This window comes from Homo sapiens, chromosome 17 (genome assembly GCF_000001405.40).
Source record: "Homo sapiens chromosome 17, GRCh38.p14 Primary Assembly".
In the NCBI taxonomy this organism is placed as follows: domain Eukaryota; kingdom Metazoa; phylum Chordata; class Mammalia; order Primates; family Hominidae; genus Homo; species Homo sapiens.
Genome location: NC_000017.11, coordinates 39,273,995 through 39,293,062, shown reverse-complemented (window position 1 = coordinate 39,293,062; position 19,068 = coordinate 39,273,995). Strand labels below are relative to the sequence as shown.

General features: G+C 41.3%; 1 protein-coding gene across 6 annotated transcripts in view; it reads left to right on the top strand.

Moving 5' to 3' along the window:
- FBXL20 (F-box and leucine rich repeat protein 20) overlaps nucleotides 1-19,068 on the top strand; it is a 149,894-nt gene that overhangs the window by 109,494 nt on the left and 21,332 nt on the right. For 4 of the 6 annotated variants that reach the window (XM_047436952.1, NM_001370208.3, NM_032875.3 and 1 more), the window contains exons 7-10: nucleotides 7,490-7,585; nucleotides 10,208-10,334; nucleotides 11,600-11,674; nucleotides 17,963-18,093. In XM_047436952.1, the coding sequence (XP_047292908.1) occupies nucleotides 7,490-7,585; nucleotides 10,208-10,334; nucleotides 11,600-11,674; nucleotides 17,963-18,093 (429 nt within the window). The remainder of the gene's footprint in view (nucleotides 1-7,489; nucleotides 7,586-10,207; nucleotides 10,335-11,599; nucleotides 11,675-17,962; nucleotides 18,094-19,068) is intronic. The other 2 variants (NM_001370209.3, NM_001184906.2) reach the window with 1 other exon arrangement.

The window sequence follows — 19,068 nt, the reverse complement described above, 5'->3', positions numbered from 1 at the left end:
CCAGCACTTTGGGAGGCCAAGGTGGGCGGATCACCTGAGGTCAGGAGTTTGAGACCAGCCTGGCCAGCATGGTGAAACCCCGTCTCTACTAAAAATACAAAAATTAGCCGGGCATGATGGCGGGTGCCTGTAATCGCAGCTACTTAGGAGGCTGAGGCAGGAGAATTGCTTGAACCTGGGAGGCGGAGGTTGCACAGTGAGCTGAGATCACGCCATTGCACTCCAGCCTGGGCTACAGAGCAAGACTCAGTCTCAAAAAAAAAAAAAAAAATTATAAGACATATGCAAAGCAGTGGGAAAATGTGACCCAAAACCAAAAGAAAAGCCAGTCAATAGAAATATAGACCCGGAAGAGGCAGAGGTTGCAGTGAGCCGAGATCGTGTCATTGTACTCCAGCCTGGGCAACAAGCGAAAAACTCTCAAAAAAAAGAAAAGAAAAGAAATAGACCCAGAAGTGACTGAAATAGAACTGAACAATAAGGAGTTTAAAAATAGCAGTTACAAGCCAGGTGTGGTGGTATGCTCCTGTAATCCCAGCTACTTGGTAGGCTGAGGCAGGAGGATCACTTGAGACCAGGAGTTAGAGACTGCAGTGCACTGTGATCATGCCTGTTAATAGCCACTGCACTCAAGCCTGGGCAACCTATCAAGACCACATTTCAAAAAGTAAGTAAATAAGTACATAAGAAATTTTAAATAACAATTACAAATATGTGCAAAAATTTAAAAAAATGAAACTAAAAGAATGGGAAAATACATACTATTATAAATACTAGTTGGGAAAGTTGGAGTGGACAGTAATATCAGATGGCGTAAATTTAAGGAAAAAAATTAGATGAAAAAAAGGTATTAAATAGTACCCCTGGCTTATAAAACAAGTATGCCAAAAAGCAGTAAAGCTATTAAGGACTTCAGCAACACTATCAATGAACTTGATATAATTGACATTTATAGATTGCTACACCAAAAAGCATCAGAATAAACATTCTCTTCAAGTACATTTGGAATATTCAATAGGACAAACCAAATAATGAGCCATAAAACAAATTTTAATACATTTGGAAGGATTAAAATCATATTGGGTATGTTCTGTGACCTCAACAAAATTAAAGTAGAAATTAATAACAGATACCTGGAAGATTAGAAAATTAAATAACATACTTTGGAATAACCCATAGTTCAAAGAATTGCTTACGAAGAAATTTAGAAAATATGCTTCATTGAGTGATAATGAGAATATAACTTTGTAAATTTGTGGAATGCGCCTAAGGTATTGCTTAGAGCAAAATGTATAGCATCAAATGCTAATATTAGAGAAGAAAAGTTTGGCCGGGCACAGTGCCTCACACCTGTAATCCCAGTACTTTGGGAGGCCGACGCAGGTGGATCACTTGAGATCAGGAGTTCAAGAACAGCCTGGCCAACATGACAAAACCCCGTCTCTACTAAAAATTCGAAAAATTAGCCTGGCGTGGTGATGCATGTCTGTGGTCCCAGATACTTGGGAGACTGAGGCAGGAGAATCGCTTGAACCCAGGAGGCAGAGGTTGCAGTGAGCTGAGATTGTGCCACTGTACTCCACCCTGGGTGACAGAATGAGACTCCATCTCAAAAAAAAAAAAAAAAAAAAGAAAAGTTTTAAAATCAAGAATCTAATCTGCTTAGAGAGCTAGAAAAGAGTCTCTCCTCTCTCCTCCCTCCCTCCCTACCTACCAAAAAGGAAGAAAAAAATAGAAAAAAGTAAATTAAATCCAAAGGAAGGAAGGAAATAATACTGGAAATCCATGAAATAAAAAATAGGTGGCCGGGCGCGGTGGCTAGTGCCTGTAATCCCAGCACTTTGGGAGGCTGAGGCGGGTGATCACGAGGTCAGGAGATGGAGACCATCCTGGCTAACATGGTGAAACCCCGTCTCTACTAAAAATACAAAAAGTTAGCCGGGCGTGGTGGCAGGCTCCTGTAGTCCCAGCTGCTCTGGAGGCTGAGGCAGGAGAATGGCATGAACCCGGGAGGCGGAGCTTGCAGTGAGCCGAGATCGCGCCACTGCACTCCAGCCTGGGCGACAGAGCGACACTCTGTCTTAAAAAAAAAAAAAAATACAGAATGGAGAAGACTTATAAAGTAAAAGTTGATTGTTCAAAATAAAATGAATAAGCTTGATTAACCTCTGTCTAGATTAGTCAAGAAAGAACACGCACAGGCTGAGTGCATTGGCTCATGCCTGTAATCCCAACACTTTGGGAAGCTAAAGCAGGAGGGTTGCTTGCACCCAGGAGTTTGAGACCAGCTTGGGCAACGTAGTGGGACCCCATCTCTACAAAAAATAAAAGGTTAGTTGGGCATGGTGGCGCACACCTGTGTTCCTATCTACTCGGAGGCTGAGGTGGGAGGATCGCTTGGGTCCAGGAGGTCGAGGGTATAGTGAACTGTGATCATGCCACTGCACTTCAGCCTGGGTGAAAGACTGAAGCCCTGTCTCAAAAAAAAGTTTGTGGACAAATAAGATAACGTAACTTCTTCAACCTGATCAAGTATATATGTGAAAAATCTCTTACAACATCATATTTGATGGTGAAAGACTTCCTGAGATCAAAGATTCCCTAACATCAGGAACAAGGCAAGGATATCAGGTCTTACCACAGCTGTTCAACATGTACTGGATGTTGTGCCTAATGCAATAGAGGAAGGATTATAAAAGGCATTCACATAATGGTATAATTGGATTCATAGGAAAGTCCATGGAATCTGTCAAAGCTACTAGATCCACTGAGTTCTAGCAAAGTAATGAGATACATGACTACTTTGCAAAAACTCAATTCTATTTCTGTATACTAGCAATCAGCAATTGGAAAATGAAGTTTAAGATACATCATTTATAGTAATACCCAAAAATATAAAAAATATAAGGATAAACTTAAAAATAATGTGTAAGTCATCATATACACTGAAAATTATAAAATGATCACTAACAAAAATTAGAGAAAAGAAAATTTTAAAAAGACTTAAGTAAATGATAGAGAAATAAACATAGAATTTTTTTTTTTTTTTTTTTTTTTTTTTTTTGAGACTGAGTCTCGCACTATTGCCCAGGCTGGAGTGCAGTGGCACAGTCTCAGCTAACTGCAACCTCTGCCTCCCAGGTTCAAGTAATTCTCGTGCCTCAGCTTCCTGAGTAGCTGGGATTACAGGCACTTGCCACCAAACCTGGCTAATTTTTGTTTGTATTTTTAGTAGAGGCAGGGTTTCACCATTTTGGCCAGGCTGGTCTTGAACTACTGGCCTCAACTGATCTGCCTGCCTCGGCCTCCCAAAGTGCTGGGATTACAGGCGTGAGTCACCACTCCTGGCCTCATACATATAGATTTAGAAACTCAGTATTGTTATAGTTTGGGTTTTTTTTTTGTTTGTTTCTTGAGATAGGGTCTTTCTCTGTCGTCCAGGCTGGAATGCAGTGGTGGCACAACCACAGCTCACTGCACCCTCCATCTCCTGGGCTCCCACCTCAGCCTCCCAAGTAGCTGGGACTACAGGTGTGTGTCACCATGCCTGGCTAATTTTTCTATTTTGGGTAGAGAGATAATTTCACCATGTTGCCCAAGGTGGTCTCAAACTCTGGGCTCCAGCAGCCTGCCTGCCTCAGCCTCCCACAGTGTTGGGATTACAGGCCTGAGCCACTGAGACTGGCCTAAAAACTCAATATTGTTAAGATACTTGTTTTCCTTAAATTGTTCTACAGATTCAGTGCAGTTCCAATAAAAAATCCCAATAGGTTTTTTTGTTGAAATTGAAAGGCTGATTCTAAATTCATGTGCAAATGCAGAGGTTCTAGAATAACGAAATCAATTTTGATGGACAGTGAAGTTTGGGGACTTATACTACCTGATTTGAAGGGTTATTATTACAGGAACGTTCATCAGGGCAATGTGCTGGTGCTATAAGCATAAACATATCAGTCAGTGGATTAAAATAAAGTGCCTAGAAAGGAGCCCACACATAGACAAGCTATAAAGAAAAAAATGATAAATTGTACCTCATTAAAATTAAAAACCTTTATGCTTCTGCCAGGCACGGTGGCTCACGCCTGTAATCCCAGCACTTTGGGAGGCCGAGGTGGGCAGATCACAAGGTCAAGAGTTTGAAAACATCCTGACTAACACAGTGAAACCCTGTCTCTACTAAAAATACAAAAAATTAGCCGAGTGTGGCGGCACGTGCCTCCCAGCTACTCTGGAGGCTGAGGCAGGAGAATCGCTTGAACCTGGGAGGCAGAGGTTGCAGTGATCCGAGATCGCGCCACTGCACTCCAGCCTGGGTGACAAAGCAAGACTGTGTCTTAGGAAAAAAAAAATTATGCGTCTAAAGATACCATTAACTTAAAAAAACAAAAAAGGTCACTTCACCTGATTGTCTGAGGGGGAAAAAATTAAAAAAATAATAATCGGAAAAGGCCAGGGACCATGACCTATACCTGTAGTCTCAACTACTTGGGAGGCTGAGGCAGGAGGATCACTTAAGCCCAGAAGAGCAAATCTAGCCTGACTGGTGTTTCTGGCAAGACTCCAACTCTAATTTAAAAGATAGAAAAGAAAGAAAATGAAAAGACAGGACACAGACTGGGAGAAAGTATTTGCAGGTCATATATCTAATAACAGTGCTTCTCTCAAGAGTATATAGAAAGCTCTTAGAATTAATAATGAGAAGACAATTAAACGAACAAAAATGGGCTGAAGTCTTGGATAGACATTTCACCGAAGACATAGGAATGGCAAATAAGCATAAGAAAAGGTATTTACACCAGGTGCGGTGGCTCACCATGTGTGCAATCCCAGCACTTTGGGAGGCCAAGGTGGGCGGATCGTTTGAGGTCAGGAGTTTGAGACCAGCCTGACTAACTTGGTGAAACCCCGTCTCTACTAAAACTACAAAAAAAATTAGCTGGGTGTGTTGGTGTGCGCCTGTAGTCCCAGCTACTCTGGAGGCTGAGGCAGAAGAATCACTTGAACCTGGGAGGCAGAGGTTGCAGTGAGCTGAGATCATGCCACTGCACTCCAGCCCGGGTGACAGAGTCCATCTCAAAAAAAAAAAAAAAAAAAGTTTTCATTACAGAATTGTAAAGTAAAACCACAATGCAATTCCACACCATACACACTAAGATAGCTGTATTCAAAAAGAGAGACAATGCCAAGTGTTGACAAGGATTTGGAAAAACTGGGTCCCTCATGAATTTCTGGCGGGAATGTAAAATGGTACGGCCAATTTGGGAAACAGTTTGGCAGTTCTCTTCAAAGTCAAACATAACCTTGCCATAGGATCTAGCAATTTCATTCCTAGGACTCTACCCAAAAGAAATGAAAACAAGCCGGGTGTGGTGGATCATGCTTGTAATCCCAGCACTCTGGAAGGCCAAGGCAAGAGGATCACTTGAGGCCAAAAGTTCGAGACTAGCTTGGGCATCATAGTTAGACCCTGTCTCTACAAAAAAATTTTTTTAATTAGGTGTGATGGCATGTATCTGTAGTCCTTGCTACTCAGGAGGCTGAAGTGGGAGATCGCTTGAGCCCAGGAGTTGGAGGTTACATTGAGTTATGATAGTGCCACTGCATTCCAGCCAGGGTGACAGAGTGAGACCCTGTCTGTAACAAAAAAAGAAAAAGGAAATGAAAACATTGGCCCACACAAAGACCTAGGAGACATATCAGCCAAAGAGAATGTGTGACTCTTGTTTGGATCCTAATTTGAACAAATCAACTTGTCAAAAACATTTATGATATAATTGGAGAAAAGTTAGCACATTTCAGTATCAGATGATATTAATAAATTAAAGTATTTACCTATTAGAAATAGATACCAAGGCCGGGCGTGGTGGCTCATGCCTGTAATTTCAGCACTTTGGGAGGCCGAGGCGGGCAGATCACAAGGTCAGGAGTTCAAGACCAGCCTGGCCAACATGGTGAAAACCCGTCTCTACTAAAAATAGAAAAATTAGCTGGGCATGGTGGCAGGCGCCTGTAATCCCAGCTACTTGGGTGGCTGAGGCAAGAGAATTGCTTGAACCCAGGAGGCGGAGGTTGCATTGAGCCAAGATCGTGCCACTGCACACCAGCCTGAGCGACAAGAACAAGACTCTGTCTCAAAAAAAAAAAAAAAAAAAAGAAATAGATACTGAAATATTTACAGGTAAAATGATATGTGTGGAATTGGCTTTAAAATCCTGGAATAAAAAAGGGGGGAAGAAGAGATGGCATAAAAAAAATTTTTTTTTTGAGACAGAGTTTCACTCTTGTTGCCCAGGCTGGAGTGCAATGGTGCAATCTTGGCTCGCTGCAACCTCCGCCTCCTGGGCTCAAGCCATTCTTCTGCCTCAGCCTTCCAAGTAGCTGGGATTACAGGCATGTGCCACCACGCTCAGCTAATTTTGTATTTTTAGTAGAGACAGGGTTTCACAATGTTGGTCAGGCTGGTCTAGAACTCCTGACCTCAGGTGATCCACCCACCTCAGCCTCCCAAGAAATAAAAATATTTAATAGTAGAATATTGATAAATGTTGGGCCAGGCACAGTGGCTCACACTTGTAATCCCAGCAGTTTGGGAGGCTGAGGCACGCGGAACACTTGAGGCCCGGAGTTGGAGACCAGCCTGGCTAACATGGCAAAACCCCATCTCTACAAACAATATGAAAAATTAGCTAGGTGTGGTGGTGTGTGTCTGTGGTCCCAGCTACTTAGGAGGCTGAGGCATGAGAATTGCTTGAACCCGGAAATGGAGGTTGCAGTGGGCCTAGATTGCAACACTGCTCTCCAGCCTGGGCAACAGAGCAAGATTGTCTCAAAAAGAAAAACAGTATTGATAAATGTTGAAGTTTACTGATGGTACATGTGGGTTCTCTGTATTATTTACTCTTGTTTATATTTGAAGTTTTCCATGATCTGTTAAATATTAAAATGAGAACTTGACCAGCAGAAAAAAGTCTTTAATACATAACTTACTTTTTTCAGCCCAATACCAGACCAGTCCATCCTTTGTATACCTTGCAAAAATCCAGTTCCTACATTAGTGTTATGCAAAAGGTTATCTTGAGTAGGGATTTAAGTGAAAAAACATGCAGAGCGTTTCTTCTTCATGTTTGACTACGTCTGGTAGATAGCCATTAGCTTCTGGTGTTTCTGGATTTGCAAAATGCATATAGATCTCTTCGAACTCACATTAAGTATCATGTTGTCAATTGCTGTTAACATTTTAAAATGTGAATCAAACACCATCTTCCCCTCATTCAAATTCTCATATGCAGCACAGCCTTTTTTCTTTGTGAATGGTATCTGTCTCTTCCTCAATGTGAAGGGTCGTAGGATATATAACTGCTTTTTTAGGGGTATGAAAATTTTACAGTTCTTATATATACACATGTGTTTAATAAGAACAGTGTCTGATATACCAAGGATGTGTACTTGTCTTGTTTATTCATTATTTTCTCCTTTTTCCATTTTTCAGTACATGTACTAGCCTTAGCAAGTTCTGTTCCAAACTCAGGCACCTTGACTTGGCTTCCTGTACATCAATAACAAACATGTCTCTAAAAGCTCTGAGGTAAATTTCTTATAATAAGCATGTCAAGTAATCAAAAAAAAATACATATTTTAAAAAAATAATTGATATAAAGTGGGAATTGAAGGCAACTCTGTTTTATGGATATATTCTATAGTTCAGAATAGATAATTTGTTTTACCACTTGCCCAAATTACAATTATGGGACATACTAAAGTGAAATGACTAGAGGTAACTAGGATTTCTGAACAGGGTAGTACAGTTTATACATAAACAATTAGATTTTTATGAAGTCTTATTTTCAAAAAGAAAATAAGGCCAGGCATGAAGACTCACGCCTGTAATCCCAGCATTTTGGGCGGCCGAGGCAGGCAGATCACGAGGTCAAGAGGTTAAGACCATCCTGGCCAACATGGTGAAACCCTGTCTCTACTAAAAATATAAAAATTAGTTGGGCATGGTGGCGTGCGCCTGTAGTCCCAGCTACTCGGGAGGCAGAGGTTGCGGTAAGCCAAGAGCACACCATTGCACTCCAGTGTGCTGACAGAGTGAGACTCTGTCTCAAAAAAAACAAAAAAAAAGAAAGAAAGGGCACGTGTTATAGCTTAGTGCTTAAAACAGGTATCTGGAGCCAGATTATTAACCAGGTACTTTAAGCAAACACAACCTTTCTGAGCTTTTTCTTATCACCTCATAACATTTTATTAAGGTTTAACAAGGTATTAGGCAACACCATATAAAGTTTTGCTAGTATTTGACAGTTTTCATGTTATAAGAATGACAGCTACATGTGGCTCAACCTAATGAATATAAAGTGCTTTAAAAAGGGTCCCTGAGGCCAGGCGTGATGGCTCACACCTGTAATCCCAGCACTTTGGGAGGCCATGGTAAGAGGATCGCTTGAGCTCAGGAGTTCTAGACCAGCCTGCGCAACATAGGGAAACCCTGTCTCTACTAAAAAAAATAAGAAAATTTGCCAGGCGTGGTGGCATACCCCTGTAGTCCCAGCTGCTCAGGGGACTGAAGCAGGAGGATCACTTGAGCCCAGCAGGTTGAGGCTGCAGTGAGCTGTAATCGTGCCACTGCACTCCAGGCTGGGCAACAGAACGAGACCTCATCTCAAGAAAAAAATACAAATTTAGTTAAGTAGAGTATAAATAATCTAAAATGTGGCTCCTTTTAGACCTTCTTTGTGAATATTGAACACATGTACCTAAGACGGTTTGCTGTGTAGGCTAATAAACTTGATAATATAACAACTTTTATCATTTATAAAATATTTTCACATAAATGATCTTATTTATTTAAAAGCTTTGTGAAGTAGAGTGGATGGTCATTTTACAGCTAAGAAAATCTAGAAAGCTGTTGACTGCCAGGTACTGTGATGCAACCATGAGATGTAACCGAGTAAGATATTGCTGCCCTTAAGTTGCTCACAGTCAACTGTTATTGTGGAATAAATGCTATGGTAGGAATGAGTACATCAGTTTTGGGAAAACAGAGAGCTATGGGGCTAATCTTGGACTAAGAGAGGTTCAGACAGGCTTCCTAAAGTCATTTGCCTGAAGTTAAACTATTAATATTGGAGAATGAACTTGATATCATGGCTTTATCTTCTGGATCTTTTCTGCAGGCAGGAATATTTCAAACAATTTATGGAGTGTTTTTCTGAAGAATATTATAGAAAACTTGGAATTCATCCATAATACAAATATGAAGCTAAACTATTAAGAGTAGATGGAATCAACAATGAAACTAGTATTTTGAAGGCAGAGATCGGACATAAGATATCCTAAATTCAGCCTACAAAAGCGGTACTCTAGAAACATCTCAGATAAGGAAATACACAGGGCCTTTGTAATTTTTTAAAATAAAAGTTTAAAAGGCTTCATTACTACTTTGGTACTGTGAGTTGAATATCCCCGTTTCAAAAATCCAAAATGCAGCTGGGTGCTACTTGAGGGACTGAGGCGGGAGGATCAGTTGAGCCATGGAGGTCACAGCTGTAGTGAGCCCTGATGGCGCCACTGCACTCCAGCCTGGGTGACAGAACGAGACCCTGTCTCAAAAAAAAAAAGAAAGAAAAGAAAATCTGAAATGCTTCAAAATCCCAAACTTTTTGAGTATCAATGTGACACTCAAAGGAACTGCTCACTGGGGCACTTCAGATTTTCAGATATGGGATACTCAGCTATGTAAGTATAATGCAAATATTGCAAAATCTGAAATCTGAAACACTGCTGGTACCAAGCATTTAAGATAAGGGATACTCAACCAGTAATAGCATTGCTCGATGGAGAATCTCGTTTTGAATCAGAGCTCTTTATTAATTACTCTGTAAACTAGAATAAATCACTTAATTTCCATTTTTTGTCTAGAGAGCTTTGAGATATGTGATAAGTACAAAAGGAATATAAATCTGAAAAACATTATAATGCTTTGTGTTTGTTGGTTAAGCTGGATTTTAGATGTTCCTGCTAATGGTATAGTCCCATGTGAATACCACATCGATAAATCTAAATATACATTAGGTAAATATGTTTTTTCTTGTGGGAAAAAATGGGAATGTTTCCATTCCTTTACTAAATAGCCAATAAATTGAGACGTTGGTGTTTTTGGAATTGGATTTAGTGATATGTTTCTCTTATTTTGTTTTATCCTAAGTGAGGGATGTCCACTGTTGGAGCAGTTGAACATTTCCTGGTGTGACCAAGTAACCAAGGATGGCATTCAAGCACTAGTGAGGGGCTGTGGGGGTCTCAAGGCCTTATTCTTAAAAGGCTGCACGCAGGTAATACTCCATGTAGGGCTCGTGAAATTCGGAAGAATCGTGAATGAATCATGAGCTCTTTATAGACAGCCCCAAGATGTTTGTCTGGAGGGAAAGGTTAGTTGTGTGTATTATTGACAAAAGACAAATGCTTACCAAAAATTAAAGTGTTTTCCTTAGGATAAAAGAATGAGAAGAATTAACATCTGACCAAAAATAAACTTGAGGAGGAGGGAGACAAAGTGTAAATTAAGATTATATTAAAGATACACCATGGTCAAGAAGAGTTCCATGCAGTTTAATTTGTGCTGAAAAGAAAACTTGGCTTGTTGTCACTGCCTGATACTTTGAACTGGATAGGCAAAGAAGGCAGTCTTAGCAATTTCCACTTGTTTTTTAACCACCAGTGTTTCTTAAATATGCCAAGTGTACAGCAACCTGCATTTTATAGTATTGATGCTTATTTCCTGCCAGTCACATTACAAATCCAACATATTTTGTCATTAAAAATTTTACTATCTCAGTGTTTTATAGTGAAAAAAAGAATTGATTAGTTAGCCTCTGGAAAGAAATGAGTGGATTTAAATTGTGGCTGACAAACTAAGGCTAGGCTCTACTTTATTTTATTAATGGTTACTAAAACCATAACTTGGATTCCATTAAAAGTGCCCTGATTCTTTTATCACGATGAGAGGGGTTCCATTGTTTGAAAGAGAATTTCAGATGTATGACTGCCTTAAAACAACAGCTTGAGCTTCTGGTTATTTAAGGAATCCTGAAAAATACTGATTGGAATGTATCATTATAATCAGTTACTTACCATCTGTTCTCAGCACTGTAAGCATGGCACCTATCTTCCAGTGGGAGATGAACACTGGATTCCTTTCTTGGCTGTATTTCCTCAAAGTTTGTTTATAAAAAACTTTATAAGGGGTGTGTAGAAGTTTGAAAATTATTTTAGTTTCATGGGCCCTCAGTAAAATGCTGTCAGGTATATTTAATTTATCAGAAGTAAAACCCATAAAAACTAGGCAGTGTTTACTTCATCTTTGTTCTTGATTTGATGATTATGTGAATTTGAATGTGGTCAAAGCTGATTTTAAAAATACTGAGAATCATAATAAGAATTATACTGTTATATGATCATAGCGTATTTTCTGATTCATTGTTCCTTCGAAACTTGGTTGGCTGTATTAGAATGTATGAATGAATGTGTACATTCTTAAATCTCTTTCCTTTGAGACAATGTCAATAATCATTTTTTTCTTACTTTTTAATCTTTCTAGCTAGAAGATGAAGCTCTCAAGTACATAGGTGCACACTGCCCTGAACTGGTGACTTTGAACTTGCAGACTTGCTTGGTAAACATCCCTTCTCACAACTCTTCTGTTTTAGTAATTCATTTCATTAAAATTTTTAAGAGCTATTTTAAGAGCTTCAGTCATCAAGACCAGTATTGTTTTTCTACCACAACCCTAGTGACAAAGTAAACACACAGATGACTTTTGACGTGCTTAACAATACTCATTCCTAGGGGCCTTGGCATAGATAAGATAGGAGGTAGCTAGCTTATGCAGAATTCCAGATGAACTAACTGTAGCTCCACCCCTTTCTTACATACTTAAAAAAACTGTCTACTTTTAAAATGTAAATGATTCACAAGTTTAGTATTTAAAATTGCAGTCAAGCTGGGCACGGTGGCTCATGCCTGTAATCCCAGCACTTTGGGAGGCTGAAGCAGGCAGACTGCTTGAGTCCAGGAGTTTGAGACCAGCCTAGGCAACATGACAAAACCCCGTCTCTACAAAAGGTGCAAAAATTAGCTGGGTTTGGTGGTGTGTGCCTGTAGTCCCAGCTTCTTGGGAGGCTGAGGTGGGAAGATCAGTTGAGCTTGGGAGCTTGAGGTGCAGTGAGCTGAAATCATGCCACAGCACTCCAGCTCGGGCAACAGAGTGAGACCTTGTCTCAAAAAAATAAATAAGATGATGAGCAATATATACTCGTCAAATTATTTTCAAGTAGCATCTATATTTAGCGTTTTGTCTTGTTCAAACTATCAGCTTTTTTGTGTCTACCCCAAAACCCCTGAATTCTACTCAGATAATTTGCTGAAACTATTCAGGCACCTAGAATGTTAACAGTACATCTTTATTTTGTTATTTATTTATTTATTTATTTATTTTGAGGCAAAGTCTTACTCTGTCACCCAGGCTCAAGGGTAGTGGTGAGATCTGCACTCACTGCAGCCAACCTCCACCTCCTAGGCTCAAGCGATTCTCCTGCCTCAGCCTTCTGCATTGCTGGGATTACACGCCACACCCAGCTACTTTTTTTTTTTTTTTTTTTTTGAGACAGAGTCTCACTGTGTCGCCCAGGCTAGAGTGCAGTGACGCTATCTCGGCTCACTGCAACCCTGCTTCCCGGGTTCAAACAATTCTCCTACCTCTGCCTCCTGAGTATCTAGGATTGCAAGTGTGTGTCACCATGCCCGGCTAATTTTTTTTTTTTTTTTTTGAGACGGAGTCTTGCACTGTTGCCTGGGCTGGAGTGCAGAGGCACGATCTCGGCTCACTGCAACCTCCGCCTCCCAGGTTCAAGCGATTCTTCTTGCCTCAGCCTCCCAAGTAGCTGGGATTACAAGCGCCCGTCACCACACCTGGCTGATTTTTTTGTATTTTTAGTAGGGATGGGGTTTCACTATGTTGGCCAGGCTGGTAATTTTTGTATTTTTAGTAGAGATGGGTTTTTGCCATGTTGACCAGGCTGGTCTCAAACTCCTGACCTCAGGTGATCTGCCTGCCTCGGCCTCCCAAAGTGCTGGGATTACAGGCGTAAGCCACTGCCATGGCCTAATTTTTGGGACAGAGTCTTGCTGTGTTACCCAGGCTGGAATGCGGTGGTGTGATTTTTGCTCACCTTCACCTCCCGGGCTCAAGTGATTGTTCCACCTCAGCCTCCCTAGTAGTTGGGACTACAGACATGTGCCACCACACTCAGCTAATTTTTGTATTTTTTTTGTAGAGATGGGGTTTTGCCATGTTGGCCAGGTTGGTCTCGAATTCCTGGGCTCAAGCAATCCACCTGGCTTGGCCTCCCAAAGTGCTGGGAATACAGGTGTGAGCCACGTGCCTGGCCAACAGTACACCTTTAGCTTTTTTCTCTTGCCTTAAAAATTACAAATGTATTTGCCTTGGAGTGAGAGTTGCTCATGGCAAAGAAAAAAGTGATAAGTTCCTTTTTTTTTTTTTTTGAGGTGAAGTCTCACTCTGTCACTCAGACTGGACTATTAGTGGCATGATCACAGCTCACAGCAACCTCCAACTACAGGGCTCAAGCAATCCTTCCACCTCAGCCTTCTGAGTAGCTTGGACTACAGGTGTGTGCCACCACACCTGGCTAATTTTTTAATTTTTTTGTAGAGATAGGGTCTCCCTATGTTGCCAGGCTGGTCTCAAATGTCTGGGCTCAAGCAATCTGCCTGCCTCAGCCTCGCAAAGTGCTGGGATTACAGGCGTGAGCTACCTGGGCTCTTCCTTACAATTCCGATTACTATAGTTGCTGACTATCAGAATTTGCCTAATTTCATTTTATTTATTTATTTATTTAGAGACGGAGTCTCGCTGTATCGCCCAGGCTGGAGTGCAGTGGTGCGATCTCGGCTCTCTGCAACCTCCATCTCCCAGGTTCAAGGAATTCTCCTGCCCCACCTTCCCGAGTAGCTGAGATTACAGGGCGTGCCACCATGCCTGGCTAATTTTGGTAGAGATGGGGTTTTGCCATGTTGGCCAGGCTGCTCTAGAACTCCTGACCTCAAGTGATCTGCCGGCCTTGGCCTCCCAAAGTGCTAGGATTACAGGCATGAGCCACTGCACCCGGCCATGATTTCATTTTTAAGACTGAAATGTGACCAGGCACAGTGGCTCACACCTGTAATCCCAACACTTTGGGAGGCCGAGACGGTGGATCGTTTGAGGTCAGGAGATCGAGACCAGCCTGCAACATGGTGAAACCCATCTCCACTAAAAATACAAAAATTAGCCCGGGCGTAGTGGTGTGTGCCCGTAATCCCAGGTATTTGGGAGGCTGAGGCAGGAGAATCGCTTGAACCCAGGAGGTGGAGGTTGCAGTAAGCTGAGATCGCACCATTGTACTCCAGCCTGGGCGACACAGCCAGACTCCATCTCAAAAAAAAAAAAAAAAAGACTGGAATGTTTACTCCTGAGAGATCAACCACAGTTATTGTAAACATGAAATCATTATCTTAAAATGCCAAAGAAAAACTATTCCTGGAGAGCTTCGTGTGTATGTGTGCACACACGCGCGTGCCTATAATCCCAGCACTTTGGGAGGCCAAGGCGGGTGAATCACCTGAGGTCAGCAGTTCGAGACCAACCTGGCCAATATGGTGAAACCCCATCTCTACTAAAAATACAAAAACCATCTAAGTGTGGTGGTGTGTGCCTGTAATCCCAGCTACTCAGGAGTCTGAGGCAGGAGACTCACTTGAACCTGGGAGGCAGATGTAGCGGTGAGCCAAGAGCACGCCACTGCACTCCAGCCTGGGCAGCAGAGCGAGACTCTGTCTCAAAACAAAAAACAAGTGTGTGTGTTTGTATGTATAAGCACATATATATGCACATATATTTACACACTCTATACATACACATTACATACACACACATATAGACATAAATATGTACATTTGTGGGTTTAGTTTGGTGTTTCTTCATCCTTCCAGCAGGCAGGAATCACAGTGAACGTAAAGAACCAATTCTATCTTATGTGTATTTTATTGTTTTCCTTCACCCAAATCTTAGTACAGGAGTCATTTCTTCCCTACAGCGTGATAAAATGATTCTCAGCATTCATGAGATTTCATGCTCTGCCCAAAATTATTGAGGTGATTAAAGTACATTTTTGATGCTTTCATTTTCTTGACAGATTTGAAAAACATAAAAGTTTAGTAAATTTTACTTTTTTTTTTTTTTTTTTTTTGAGACGGAGTTTTGCTCTTGTTGCCCAAGCTGGAGTGCAATGACATGATCTTGGCTCACTGCAACCTCTGCCTCCTGGGTTCAAGCGATTCTCCTTCCTCAACCTCCCCAGTAGCTGGGATTACAGGCACGTGACACCATGTCTGGCTAATTTTATGTATCTTTAGTAGAAACGGGGTTTCGCCATGTTAGGCTGGTCTCAGACTCCTGACCTCAAGTGATCTGCCCACCTCAGCCTTCTAAAGTGCTGAGATTACAGACGCGAGCCACCGTGCCTGGCCTACAATTTTTTAAAGTACTGACAGTATGACTTAACTCATCTTTCTTCCTCAGTACTCTCTTATAACATACAAAGGAAAGGGCAGCACAGCCCTACGGTACTTTTCTAATATTGTGTGGCACAAATATCTTTGGCCTGCTAAATTTGCATGTGTATTGATTCTTACTTCCCTCTTTACATCTCGGCTATCATAGTCTAAAGACAATACATCATGTTTGTGTGGGACTTTTTTAGCTGCCTCCACGTGTGTTAGTATCTCATTACTTGATCCTCATTAGTATCTGCCTTAGCATCCAATTTTTTTAATCTATATTTGTGTCAGCTACATGATATTGAAAGCATGATTTAAGCAGTGGATATTAAAAGTTGTGGGATTTTGTTTTTTCAGTTGTCCTTGTAATTTATGGACATGACTATTAAACAGAGACAAGAAGAGAGCTTTTATTTTTAGGCCTACACAAAATTAGTGAATCTGGAGGACAAATTGAAGAGTTGATAGTATCCACCATGTTGAGATGTTTATGTGTAACTTTCCTTTTTTTTGTTTACGGGAGTTGGGGGTGGTCTCATTATGTTGCCCAGACTAACCTTGAACTCCTGGGCTAAAGCGATCATTCCACTTCAGCCTCCTGAGTAGCTGGGACTGTAGGCATGTGTGCTTGTAATATTTCTAAAAATATAACATCTTTGATGTGAGGTGGCTTATTGTGCAACAAATTACTCAGTTGGTTAGAAAACAACCAGATATTATTTATGAAATATTTGTACCTGGGCCGGGCGTGGTGGCCCACGCCTGTAATCCCAGCACTTTGGGAGGCTGAGGCTGTCGCCCAGGCTGGAGTGCAGTGGCACAATCTTGGCTCACTGCAACCTCCACCTCCCAGGTTCAAGTGATTCTCCTGCCTCAGCCTCCCGAGTAGCTGGGATTACAGGCATCCGCCACTGCGCCTGGCTAATTTTTGTATTTTTAGTAGAGACGGGGTTTCACCATCTTGGCCAGGCTGGTCTCCAACTCCTGACCTCGTGATCCACCCGCCTCCGCCTCCCAAAGTGCTGGGGTTACAGGCTTGAGCCACCATGCCCGGCCTCAATAACTTCCCTCCCTCCCTCCTTCTTCCTTTCTTTCTTCTCTTCCTTCCCTTCCTTCCCTTTCTTTTCTTTCTTTCTTCCTTTCTTTCCTTTCTTTATTCCTTCTTTCCTTTCCCTCTCTTCCTCCCTTCCCTTCCCGTCCCTTTTTTTTTTTTTTTTTTTTTTCTTTTCTTGCTCTATTGCCTGGTGGAGTGCAGTGGTGCAAATCTCCTCCTGGGGTTAAGCGATTCTCCTGTGTCAGCCGTCCAAGTAGCTGGGATTACAGGCATGTGCCACAATACTTGGCTAATTTTTGTATTTTTAGTAGAGACAGGTTTTCACCATGTTGGCCAGGCTGGTCTCGAACTCCCGACCTCAGGTGATCCACCCACCTCAGCCTCCCAAAGTGCTTGGATTACATGTGTGAGCCACTCCACCCAGTCTAATAACTTGTAAAAAATACAAAATTGTGTCTGAGTTAGATACAACTCTTTTATCTATAAATTAGGATGTTCTTTATATTATAAAACTAAAATATAGAAGTAAATGGATGCTGTGGCTGATACAATATTGCAACTGTCATCCACAGTTTAATTTTTTTCACTAACTTATCAGTGTCAATTTGAACTTTTAGATATATTTATACTACTAAAATACTTATATCCTTATCTTTTTTCTAGGTTTTAATATTTAATTGAGGCCAGGCATGGTGGCTCAAGCCTGTGATTCAAGTACTTTGGGAGGCTGAGGTGGGCAGATCACTTGAGGCCAGGAATTCGAGACCAGCCTGGCCAAAAACCCCATCTCTACTAAAAATACAAAAAAAAAAATTGCCGGACATGGTGGCGTGCACTTGTAGTCCCAGCTAGTCAGGAGGCTGAGGCACGAGAATCGCTTGAACCTGGGAGGTGGAGGTTGCAGTGAGCCAAGATTGCACCACTGCACTCCAGCCTGGGTGATAGAGTGAGACTCTATCTCCAAATAAATAAATAAATAAATAAATAAAATTATTTAATTGAACCTAAACTATGATGTACCCCATACTGATCCCAGTTCTATTAGAATTCCATTGTAGCTTTCAACAGGATTCTATTATAGCTTCTTCCCTTTGCACCAAAGGTAAGCACAGAGAACTGGAAGGAAGAAACAACGTGTGTTCATTTTCTTTTAGGTCTGCTATCTGATGAATGTGTTAAGCATGTCTTGATTTCCTTTTTGGTGATTATTTTCACAGAGCTATCATTTTTTTCTTTTTTTGTTTTGCTAAGATACTAATATCTATGGATTTTTTTGCTCTTGTTTTTTAGCAAATCACAGATGAAGGTCTCATTACTATATGCAGAGGGTGCCATAAGTTACAATCCCTTTGTGCCTCTGGCTGCTCCAACATCACAGATGCCATCCTGAATGCTCTAGGTCAGAACTGCCCACGGCTTAGGTAAACATTTCTTGTTTAGCTCAAAAAAATCATAGAACAAAAGTTTCCTTCACCCATATTTCTTCCTTGGAACTTTGGAATTTTAAGGTAGGCACTGCAGACGCTTTGAAATTTTAAGGTAGTCCCTTTTAGATGCCCACCTACTTCCTTTTTGTACCTCATTTGATTTCATGTAATTGGTGTGAACCAAGGGGTAACAATCCCCAAATTCCACTACTTGCTATCCATACTAGAAAAAAGAATCAACATTTTATTACTTGAGATAGAAAGAAAGGTATTTTCTCTTATTAATGCTTTTGTATAATTCTTTTCTCAAAGTAGTTTTTAAAGGTCCACCCTAAGGTCATTTGTCATAGTAATGATACCAGGTACATAGCAGGGGGTACTATATTTAAAAGACACTCTTAAAGGAATACCTCTTTTGTACTGATGGGTTTTTAAAACAGTCTTATTTCTCTCTGGCTCCTCAGTTTGAAGAATGCTGTGTTTTTTACTTTTTGTAGAGATGGGGTCAGGCTGTGTTGCTCAGGCTGGCCTCAAACCTCAGCTTCCCAAAGTGTTGAGATTACAGGTGAAAGCCACTGTGCCCAGCCTGTTACTGTCTTTTGAGGTAGTGTTGTGTATGCCTGCCTCAATCTCCTGGGCTCAAGTGATCATCTCACCTCAGCCTCAGGAGTAGCTGGGACTAAAGACATGTGCTACCACACCTGGCTACACTTTTTGTTCTCTAAAATAAACTTACATAGTACTTGTAAATTAGGTGTTGCTTTAGGTGCTTTACAAATACTAATTCAGGGCTGAGTGCCGAGGCGCACACCTGTGATCCCAGCATTTAGGGAGACCGAGGCTAGAAGATCGCTTGAGCCCAGGAGTTTGAGACCAGCATGGGCAACATGGCGAAACCCTGTCACTACAAAAAATAAAAAAATTAGCCAGGCATGGCGATGTGTGCCTTGTAGTCCCAGCTACTCAGGA